Source organism: Homo sapiens, chromosome X, assembly GCF_000001405.40.
Source record: "Homo sapiens chromosome X, GRCh38.p14 Primary Assembly".
Taxonomy (NCBI): Eukaryota; Metazoa; Chordata; class Mammalia; order Primates; family Hominidae; genus Homo; species Homo sapiens.
The window spans coordinates 74,395,367-74,407,751 of record NC_000023.11 but is presented as its reverse complement, the minus strand read 5'-3'; the positions used below and the strand labels follow the sequence as shown (position 1 = coordinate 74,407,751).

At 38.6% G+C, this 12,385-nt stretch overlaps 1 pseudogene; it reads left to right on the top strand.

The window, feature by feature from the left end:
- On the top strand, positions 8,115-11,180 carry THAP12P1 (THAP domain containing 12 pseudogene 1; annotated as a pseudogene).
- The last annotated feature ends 1,205 nt before the right edge of the window (positions 11,181-12,385 follow it).

Genomic DNA, 12,385 nt, shown 5'->3' with positions numbered 1-12,385 from the left:
TCAAAGAAGTCTAATTTAGTCTTTTAATTTTTCTTGTTTGGGTGTGACTTGTTTAAGAAATCTTTGGCCAGGTGTAGTGGTTCACACCTATAATCTCAGAACTTTGGGAGGCCAAGGAGGGAGGATCACCTGAGCCCAGGAGTTTGAGACCAGCCTGGGCAACATAGCAAGACTGTCTCTACTAAACATAAAATAAATAAAATAAAATAAAATAAAATAAAAATAAATAAATAATCTGCCTATTCCCAAGTCATATGCTCCTATGTTTTCCTCTCAAAGCTTTATGACTTCAGATTTTATGTCTGGGCTTTTATGTTTGGGCTTATGATCCATCTCAAATTAATTTTCCTATATGGTTTAAGGTAATAGTTGAGGTTCATTTTGTTCATATGGATAGCCTGTTATTCTTGTACCATTTGCTGAAAAGACTTACATTTCCCCATTTGATTGTTTTGGCTTCTTGCCTTTTTATTGTTAGCTCTTTTATTTAGAAAAGTGGATATGTAAGCTCACTCAATTTTCACAAATGGAACACTCCCATTTAATCAATCCCTATATCCCAGCAAACATATCAAGAAATGTAGCATTACGAACATCCTAGAAGCTGCCTTCCTGCCTACTTACAGTTACAACCTCTTCTGTTACAACAGTAACCACCCTCCCTGTACTAATAGCATAGATTTGTTGTATCAATTTTTATGCTTTATATAAATGGAATCATACATTGTGTAATCTTTTGTGTTTGGCTTCTTTCTCTCAATATTAAGTTTATGAGAGTCATCCATGTTGTGTCTAGCAATAGTTCATACATTTTGATTGCTGCATATTTTTCACTGGAGGAATATACTACATGGACGTGGACATTTGTGTTGTTTCCAGTGTTTGACTATAATGAATGGTGCAGCTATTAACACGTCTTTTGTTGAAATGTGAGAAGGACATGACAATTTGGAGGGGCCAGGGGCAGAATGACATGGTTTGGATCTGTGTTCCCGGCCAAATCTCATGTTGAAATGTAATCCCCAATGTTGGAGGTGAGGCCTGGTGGTAGGTGACTGGAACATTGGGGTGGTTTCTAATGGTGTAGCACCATCCCCCCTAGTGCCATTCTTGTGATAGAGTTCTCATGAGATCTGGTTGTTTAAAAGTGTGTAGCACCTCTCCCCTCCCCTCTTCCTCCTGCTTTTGCCATGTGAGAAGTGCTGGCTCCCCCTTTGCCTTCTGCCATGTTTTTAAGTTTCCTGAGGCCTCCCCAGAAGCCGAGCAGATAGCCAGCATCATGCTTCCTGTACAGCCTGCAGAACCATGAGCCAATTAATTAAACCTCTCTTCTTTATAAACTACCCAGACTCAGTTATTTATAGCAATGTGGGAATGGACTAATACACTCCCTATAACCACCACAGCCTGGAATGTGCTGGGTTATGCCTGAAGCCAGCATATTTCCGAGTCTCACCCAAAGTCCATGGCATGTATTACCTGGATATCACTACTGATTATTCAGAGCCCAAGGGCTCTTCAGTTAGCAGGTGATTAATCTTGCCAGGACTGGGTCCTTCCCTTCAAGGCAGCAGTTCCCTTCTGGCCCAGGGTGTGTCTAGAAATGTCATCTGGTAGCCAGGGCCTGGAATGGAGGCCTCAGGACTCTGCCCAGTGCCCTTTACTACTGTGGCTGAGCTCGTATCTAAGTTGTAAAACAAAGCCCTCTTTACTCTTTCCTCTCCTCTCTTTAAGCTGAGGGAGGGAGTCTCTCCTGGAGCTGCAAGCTGCACTGCCTGGTGTTGTGGCCTAGACTGTCATTCAAGTTTATTTAGGACGCTAGAGCAGTTTATCCCATCATGGTGGGGCTTGCCAGAATTCTGGTTCCAACCACTGGGATGGGTGATTCCCTTCTGGCTAGGGCTGGTCTAAATGCTCCCTCCATGGGTGCCAGCTGAGTTGTGCCCACTGTTGCTTTCCACTGTGACAGGACAGCACTGAGTTCTAATGTAAGTCCCACAATCACTGCACTCTCCCTTTCCCAAGTGCACAGATTCTCTCTCCACACCATACTGTCACTGCCAGGGGATGGGAGAGACATAGTGTCTACAATTGATGACTGCCTTTCTTACCCTCTTCTGGGCCTCTTTCAGTGATATGAAGTTAAAACCAGGTACTGTGATCACTCACCTGATGATTGATTCTTATGTAGGGGCTTTTATTTTGTGGATAGTTGTTCAATTTGGTGTTTCTGTGGGGAGGACAATCAATGGAGGCTTCTATTTAACCATCTTGCTCCTCCTCCTCCTCCTCCTTCTTTTTTGAGATGGAGTTTCACTCTTGTTGCCAGACTGGAGTGCAGTGGCATGATCTCGGCTCACTGCAACCTCTGACTCCCAGGTTCAAGTGATTCTCCTGCCTCAGACTGCCGAGTAGCTGGGATTACAGGTGCACATGACCACATCCAGCAAATTTTTGTATTTTTAGTAGAGATGGGGTTTCACCATGTTGGCCAGGCTGGTCTTGAACTCCTGACCTCAAGTGATCCACTCTCCTCAGCCTCCCAAAGTGTTGGGATTACAGGCATGAGCCACTGTGCCCAGCCGCTCTGCCTCCTTCTTACTGGGCGTGTGTTTGTTGGGAGGTTTTTGATTTCTGATTCAATCTTCTTACTAGTTATCGATATGTTAATATTTTCTATTCATGATTCAATCTTGGTAGGTTGTGTGTTTCTATGAATTTATCTATTTCTAGTTTGTTCAATTTGTCAGCATACAACTGCTCATAGTATTTTTTTCTAACTGTCATTTAAATTTCTTTGGCATCAGTTGTAATGTTCCATTTTTTCATTTCTGATTTTAGTTATTTGAATCTTCTCTTTTTTTCTTAGTTAATATAGCTAAAAGTTTTTTCTTTCTTTCTTTCTTTTTTTATTGGTACAGACAGAGTCTTGCTATGTTGTCCAGGCTAGTCTCAAACTCCTGGCCTCAAGCAATCCTCCCACCTCGGCCTCCCAAAGTCCTGGGATTACAGGTGTGTGCCACCATGACTGGCCTAAGGATTTGTCAATTTTGTTGCTCTTGTTAAAACATCTCTTAGTTTCATTGATGCATTCTATTATCTATTCCCTTCATCTCTGATTAATCTTTATTATTCCCTTCCTTCTGCTAGCTTTGTATTTAGTTTGTTATTGTTTTTCTGGTTCCCTGAAGTATAAAGTAAGGTTGTTGATTTGAGATGTTTCTTTTTATAATGTATGTGTTTACACATATAAACTTCACACTTAGTTTTTACTGCATCCTATAAGTTTTGATGTGTAATAGTCTCATGTTCGTTTGTCTCAAGGTATTTTCTAATTTCCCTCATGACATCCTCTCTGGCCCATTGACTGTATACAAATATGTTATTATTTATTAAAATATATTTTAAGCCTTTTTAAAAGGAATGTGTTATTTAAATTCCACATATTTGTGGATCTTCCAGTTTTCATTCTGCTATTCATTTCTAGTTTTATTTCATTGTGACTGGAAGAGATATTTTGTATAATTTCAATATTTTTGAATTTGTTAAGATTTGTTTTGTGGTCTAACATGTGGTCTTTCCTAGAGAATATTCCATGTTCATATTCTGTTCTTTTTGGGTGGACTGTTCTATATGTCTGTTAGGTCCAATAGGTCTACAGTTTTGTTCAGGTCCTTTATTTTCTTATTGACTTTCTGTCTAGTTGTTCTATCCGTTCATTATTAAAAATAGGGTATTAAAGTCTCCTATTACTATTACTATTTTGCTGTCTATTTTTCATATTTTTTGCTGTCTCTTTTCTCACTTAATTCTGTCAAAGTTTATATATTTAGGAGCTCTGATGTTTGTTGCATGAATATTTATAATATTTTTTGGTGAATTGTCTCTTTTATTGTTATATAATGTCCTTATTTGTCTCTTATAACAGTTTTTGACTTAAAGCTTATTTTGTCTGATATTAGTACAGTCATCCTGCTCTGTTTGGTTACCATTTTTATGTAGTATCTTTTTCCATCCTTTCACTTTAAGTCTATGCATGTCCTTAGATCTAAGGTGAGTCTCTTATAGATAGCAAGCAGGTGGATCCTGATTTTTTATCCATTCAGCCAACCTATGTATTTTGGGGAGTTTAATCCACTTACATTTAAAGTGATTACTGATAGTGAAGTACTTCTTACTGCCATTTTGTTGTTTTCTGTATGTTTTGTCCCTTTTCCCTCCTTTCTTTTCTTACTGCTTTCCTTCATTTTCATTGTTTTTTTCTTATAGTGACATGCTTTGATTTCCTTCTCATTTCCTTTTGTGTATATTCTATTGGTATTTTCTTTTTGTGATTACCATTGCAACTACATAAAATGTTTTAAAGTTATAACATTCTATTTCAAGCTGACAACAACTTAAGTTTAACAACAAAAACTTTACTCCTTTACAGCATCACTCCCCCACTTTATATTATTGATGTCACAAATAACATTTTTTAAAGATATGGGCTCTCCCTCTGTCACCCTGGCTGGGAGTACAGGTGTGCATCACCATGCTTAGCTAATGCTTTTTAACTGAATTTGCTTCATAGAGATGGGGTCTCACTATGTTGCCCAGGCTGGTCTCAAGCTTCTGGCCTCAAGCAGTTCTCCAGCCTTGGCTTCCTAAAGTGCTGAAATTACATGCGTGAGCCACCATGCCTGGCCATGTTTACTGTATGTCTTATTATGGGCTGAATTGTGTTTCCTCAACATTTATATGTTGAAAGGCTAACCCCCAGTACCTCAGATGATGACTGTATTTGCAATAGGGCCTTTGAGGTAAATAAGTAAAAATGAGGCTATTATGGTGGGCTCTAATCGAATCTGACTGATGTCCATATTAGACTAAGACACACTGAGAGACACCAGGATGTGCATGCATAGAGAAAAGACCATGTGAGGATGCAATGGGAAGGAAGCCATCTGCAAGACAAGAAGAGAGGACTTAGGAGAAACTAAACCTGCTAACACCTTGATATTGAACTTCTAGTCTCCATAAGTGTGAGGAAACACAATTCTGTTGTTTAAACCACCCTTTATGTTATATTTTGTTATGGCAGCCCTAGTATACTAATATGTGTCTTTTATATATATAGTATTTTATATATACATATATATTTATATGCCCTAGCATACTAATATATTATCTTTTTTGTTTCTCACTTCCTCCATTAGTGCTTCCTTTTGTGATTAATTGATTTTTTTTGTTAGTGTACCATTTGAATCCCTCTTTGTTTCTTTTTCTGTATATTTTCAGTTTTTCCCTTAGTGATTACCCTGGGGATTACAATTACTATCTTATCTTTGTAACACTCAACTTTAAATTAATACTTAGTTTCAATAGTACTAGACAACTCTGGCCCCTTACAGCTCTGTCCCTCTTTTATGTTGTTATTGTCACAAATTACACCTTTATACATTGTGTACCCATTAGCATAACTTTAAAATTATTATTTTATATCTTTGTCCTTTAAATTCTACGGAATAAAATGGTTACAAACCAAATATGCAATACTACTGGCTTTTTATACTTATTATATTAGGTAGCTAGGGCTGTCATAACAAAGTATCACGGACTGAGTGGCTTAAACAATAAAAATTTGTTTTCCAGTAGTTATAGAGAATAGAAGTCCTGGATTTAGGTGTCGACTGGGTTAGTTTCTTCAGCAGCCTCTCTCCTTGGCTTGTAGATGGCCATCTTCTCCCTGTGTCTTTGCATAGTTTTTCTTCTGTGTGTATCTGTATTCTAATCTCCTCTTCCTATAAGGATACTAGTCATGTGGGATTAGGTCTCACTAACTTAATTACTTCTTAAATACCCTTCCTCCAAATATAGTCACACCCTGAAGTACTGGAAGCTAGGACTTTAATGCATAAATTTTGGTGGACACAATTCAGCCAATAACACTTGTGTATCTACCTTTACCATTGTTCTTTATTTCTTTGGCTATCCTTGAATTACTTTCTGTTTTCCTTTTATTTCAGTCTGGAAGACTCCCTTTAGCATTTATTTTTTAAAAATAAATCTTATTGTGTATTCAGGTTTACAACATGTTATGGAATACATGTAGATAGTAAAATAATTACTGTGTTGAAGCAAATTAACATATCTATCATCTCACATAGTTACTTTTTTGTGACAAGAACAGCTAAACTCTACTTAGTTGACAAGAATCTTTAATACAATTTTATTAACTACAGTCCTAATGTGGTATGTTGAAACTCTAGACTTGTTCATCCTACATATCTGCTACTTTGTATCCTTTGACCTACATTTTCCTGTTTCTTCCCTATCCCCACCCATGGTAACTACTGTTTCATTCTGTCTGTACTACATATTTGACTTTTAAAAAATAGAGTGCACAATATAAGTAAGATTATGCTATATTTTTCTTTCTGTGTCTGGCTTATTTTACTTAGCATAATGTCCTCCAGGTCCATCCATTTTGTGGCAAATGGCAGTATCTCCTTTTTAAAGGCTAAATAATATTTCATTATATATGTGGGTGTGTATAAATAAATAAATACACACACATATCTATATACGTAAAAAACACATTTTCTTTATCCACTTGTCCATTGATGGACACTTATGTTGTATCCATATTGTGGCTATTGTGAATAATGTTTCAACAACACGAGAGTGCAGATATCTTTACAAGATGGTGATTTCATCTCCTTTCAGTATATACCCAGAAGAAGGATTGGCTCTAGCATTTGTCGTAGGGCATGTCTGCTAGTGATGAATATCATCAGTTTTTCTTTATCTAGAAATGTCTTAACTTTTCCTTCATTTTTCTTCCTGAAATGTACCCTTTATTAGAAATATATTATTATCATTTCTACAAAAAAATTAGGTTCCTTGCTTTTCTAAATGGTGAGTCAAGTCCATTTTCCATCTAGTCAATTGTGTTCAGCAAAGAAATATTAAACAAGGTGAAATTCAAAGTAGATCTTGTGGCACAGTGGATAAGGACAAGACAGTTGTGCTCAAATAAATCTGGAGTTGAGTTCCAGGTCTACCAGTTATTTAGGGTGTGACCCAGAATGGCTTCTCCATTTTTCTAAAAAATAGACTTTACTTTTTAGAGCAGTTTTAGGTTCCCAGCAAAACTGAATGAAAAGTACAGGGAGATCCCATATACTCCTTCTCACACACATGCATAGCCTCCCTCACCACCAACATTCCACAACAGAAGTGGTACATGTATTTCAAATTGATGAACCAACCTTTACACACCATTATCACTCAAAGTCCACAGTTTAAATTTTCATTCTTGATTTTGTACATTCTATGGGCTTTGACAAATGTATACACTACTATAGCATCACTCAGAATGAGTGTTGAATTTTCTCAAATGCTTTTTCTACATCTATGGATATGATCATATAATTCTTCCTTTTTAGCCTGTAGATGTGATGGATTACATCAATTGATTTCCAAATGTTGAACTAGCCTTGCATACATGGAATAAATCACACATGGTCATGGTGTATAATTTTGTATGCATTATGGATATTTGCTAATATTTTGATGGGGATTTTTGCATCTACATTCATGAAATGTTGGCCTGTAGTTTTCTTTTCTTTTCTTTTCTTTTTTTGAGAGGAAGTCTGGCTCTTGTCCCCAAGGCTGGAGTGCAATGGCACGATCTCGGCTCACTGCAACCTCTGCCTCCCGGGTTCAAGCTATTCTGCTGCCTCAGCCTCCCGACTAGCGGGGATTACAAGCGCCTGCCACCACGCCTGGCGAATTCTTGTATTTTTAATAGAGACGGGGTTTCGCCATGTTGGCCAGGCTGGTCTCGAACTCCTGACCTCGTGATTCTCCCACCTCGACCTCCCAAAGTGCTGGAATTATGGCTTGAGCCACCGCACCCGGCCAGTTTTCTTTTCTTGTAGTATCTTTATATGATTTTGGTACTAGGGTAATGGTGGCCTCATAGAATAAATTAGGAAGTGTTCCCTCTGCTTCTACCTCCTGGAAGAGACTGTAGAGAGTTTATATAAATTCTTCCTTAAATGTTTGGTATAATTCACCAGTGAACCCTAGTGCCATCTGTTTGGGAAGGTTATTAATTATTGATTCAGTCCCCTCCCCAGCCCCGACGGGCGGGCGGACTGCCCTGAAGAGGCGGGGAGGGGGTGCTGGGCCGGCCGGCTGGCGGGCGGGCGACGATGACGAACTTCTGCGCTGCCCCCAAGTGCACGTGGAAGAGCACGCAGTCCGACCTGGCCTTTTCAGGTTCCCGCGGAACCCGGCCAGATGCCAGAAGTGGGTGGAGAATTGTAGGAGAGCAGACTTAGAAGATAAAACACCTGATCAGCTAAATAAACATTATCGATTATGTGCCAAAGATTTGGAGACCTCCATGATCTGTAGAACTAGTCCTTATAGATAATGTAATACCAACAATATTTGATCTTACCAGTCATTTGAACAACCCACATAGTAGACACAGAAAACGAATAAAAGAACTGAGTGCAGACAAAATCAGGACACTGAAACAGAAAAAATTCGATGAAACTTCTGAGCAGGAACCAAAACATAAAGAAACCAACAATAGCAATTCTCAGAACCCCAGTGAAGAAGAGAGTGAAGGGCAAGATGAAGACATTTTACCTCTAACCCTTGAAGAAAAGGAAAACAAAGAATACCTAAAATCTCTATTTGAAATCTTGATCCTGATGGGAAAGCAAAACATACCTCTGGATGGACATGAGGCTGATGAAATCCCAGAAGGTCTCTTTACTCCAGATAACTTTCAGGCACTGCTGGAGTGCCGAATAAATTCTGGTGAAGAAGTTCTGAGAAAGCAGTTTGACACAACGGCAGTTAACACGTTGTTTTGTTAAAAAACACAGCAGAGGCAGATGCTAGAGATCTGTGAGAGCTGTATTTGAGAAGAAACTCACAGGGAAATGAGAGACTCACACTTCTTTTCCATTATCACTGACTATGTAAGTGGACATAGCAGGGGAAGAGCACCTACCTGTGTTGGTGAGGTTTGTTGATGAGTCCCATAACCTAAGAGAGGAATTTATGGGCTTCCTGCCTTATGGGCTTCCTGCCTTATGATGTTCATACAGAAATTTTGGCTGTGAAATTTCACACTATGATAACTGAGAAGTGGGGATTCAATAATGGAGTATTGTGGCCAGGCTTACATTGTGTCTAGTTGATCTTCTTCCTCTTCTCCTTCTTCTTCTTCTCCTTCTTCTTCTTCTTCTTCTTCTTCTTCTTCTTCTTCTTCTTCTTCTTCTTCTTCTTCTTCTTCTTCTTCTTCTTCTTCCTCCTCCTCCTCCTCCTCCTCCTCCTCCTCCTCCTCCTCTTCTTCTTCTTCTTCTTCTTCTTCTTCTTTTTTTTTTTTTTTTTGAGACAGAGTCTCGCTCTGTCGCCCAGGCTGGAGTGCAGTGGCGCCATCTGGGCTCACTGCAAGCTCTGCCTCCCAGGTTCGCGCCATTCTCCTGCCTCAGCCTCCCCAGTAGCTGAGACTACAGGCCCCCGCCACCGCGCCCGGCTAAGTTTTTTGTATTTTTAGTAGAGACGGGGTTTTGCCGTGTTAGCCAGGATGGTCTTGATCTCCTGACCTTGTGATCCACCCGCCTCGGCCTCCCAAAGTGCTGGGATTAGAGGCGTGAGCCACCGTGTCTGGCGGATTTTCTTCCAAAATGAAAGTTGTTGCTTCTAGACCTTTAGAGAAATATCCCCAAGCTGTCTACACACTCTGCTCTTCCTGTGCCTTAAATATGTGGTTGGCAAAATCAGTATCTGTTATGGGAGTATCCGTTGCATTAAGAACAATTGAGGAAGTTTGTTCTTTTTTCCATCGATCACCACAACTGCTTTTAGAACTTCACAATGTAATTTCTGTTCTTTTTCAGAACAGTAAAGAAAGGGGTAAAGAACTGAAGGAGATCTGCCATTCTCAGTGAGAAATATTAGATGGAATAACTGTATAGCTGGCCGAGTATTTGTACGCTGCAGTACAGTAACAGATTTTGATTTCATTGTTACTACTGTTGTTCTTAAAAAATGTCCTATCTTTTGAAAGAGCCTTTGGGAAAAATCTCCAGGGGCAAACCTCTGATGTCTTCTTTGCAGCCAGTAGCTTGACTGCAGTACTGCATTCACTCAACGAAGTGATGGAAAATATTGAAATTTATAATGAATTTTGGTTTGAGGAAGCCACAAATTTGGCAACCAAACTTGATATTCAAATGAAACTCCCTGGGAAATTCCGCAGAGCTCACCAGGGTAACCTGGAATCTTAGCTAACCTCTGAGAGTTACTATAAAGAAACCCTAAGTGTCCCAACAGTGGAGCACATTATTCAGGAACTTAAAGATATATTCTCAGAACAGCACCTCAGAGCTCTTAAATGCTTATCTCTGGTACCCTCAGTCATGGGACAACTCAAATTCAATACATCAGAGGAACACTATGCTGACACGTATAGAAGTGACTTACCCAATTCTGACATGCTCTCAGCCAAGCTTCATTGTTGGAGAATCAAATGGAAACACAGGGGGAAAGATATAGAGCTTCCATCCACCATCTATGAAGCCCTCCACCTGCCTGACATCAAGTTTTTTCCTAATGTGTATGCATTGCTGAAGGTCCTGTGTATTCTTCCTGTGATGAAGGTTGAGAATGAGCAGTATGAAAATGGACGAAAGCGCCTTAAAGCATATTTGAGGATCATTTTGACAGACCAAAGGTCGAGTATCTTGGCTTTGCTTAACATAAATTTTGATATAAAACACCACCTGGATTTAGTGGTGGACACATATATTAAACTCTATACAAGTAAGTCAGAGCTTCCCACAGATAATTCCGAAACCGTGGAAAATACCTAAAAGACTCTTAAAAATAGGCTATCTTATATTTGATATTTGGAAGAAAAGCCGTACGATGTATGTAGGCCACTTAATCACTAAATATCTTTGCCTACAGAACTCCATTGAATACCTTAGCCATTGATAATCTACCTGTTTAAATGGCCCCTGTTTGAACTCTCATGCTTTGAAGACCTACCTGTTTTTCCAGAAGAGAACATTGAAAATGCCATGTTTCCTTCTGCGTGATCTCTGCATGGCACTCTGGAATTGTTTTAGTTAAGTCATTTTAGACATAGCATTTATTATCACTATGGATCTCTACTTGTTGGGTGTTATGAATTCTTTGAAGAAATATATTTTGAAGAGGTGTGAGAGGAAGGACTACATTTTATAAAACGTTATAGTGGAGCCCACAATTGACCTTTGTCTAATAGGAGTTTTAAGTATGTTAAAAATCTATATTGGACAGTTACAAGAAATTACTGGAGAAAAGCTTGTGAGCTCGCCAAACAAGGATTTCAGTGTAGATTTTGTCTTTCTTGAACTTAAAGGAACAAATGACAAAGTTTGAATGGAAGAGCCTGCCATTGTTCCACATCTCGTTATTGCTGTTTACATTCCTTTGTGGAGCCTACATCTTCATAAGCTTTTTAGCAGGTATATGTTGAACACTTCTGTTTCATGGTTAAGACAGAATCAGAGGCCATGGATACTGACAACTGATTTGTCTGTTTTTTTTTCTGTCTTTTCCCGTGACTCTTATCTACTGCCTCATCTTGATTTATAAACAAAACCTGGAAAACCTACAAAACTAAGTGTTGTGGTTTATCTAGAAAAATATGGAAATATTGCTTTTTTTGGTGAAGAAAATCAATTTTGTATAGTTTATTTCAATCTAAATAAAATGTGAATTTTGTTAAAAAATTATTGATTCAATTTCTTTAATAGAGATAGGTCTATTCAGATAGTTTATTTCTTCTGTCTGAGTTTTTGCAGATTGTGTTGTACAAGGAATTAGTTCATTTCATCTAGGTTATCAAATTTGTGGGCATAAGTTGCTCATAATATTCCTTTTTTTTTTACTCTCTCCAGGCCTTTACAAAAATTACTTACATGAGATAATACTACTACTAACTATAGTAGTATCTAATTTTACTAGGACACAAAAAATCACAAATTCAACTTTTTCTTTCTTTTTTTTAACTTTTAAGTTCAGGGGTATATGTGCAGGTTTGTTATATAGGTAAACTTTAATCATGGGGGTTTGTTGTACAGATTATTTCATCACCCAGGTATTAAGCCTAGTGCCGATTAGTTATTTTTACTGATCTTCTCCCTCCTCCCACCCTCCACCATCTGATAGGCCCCAGTGTCTATTGTTCCCCTTTGTGTCCATGTGTTCTCATCATTAAGCTCTCATTTATAAGTGAGAACATGTGGTATTTGGTTTTTTGTTCCTGCATTAATTTGCTAAGGATAATGGCCTCCAGCTCCATCCATGTTTTTGCAAAGGACATGAT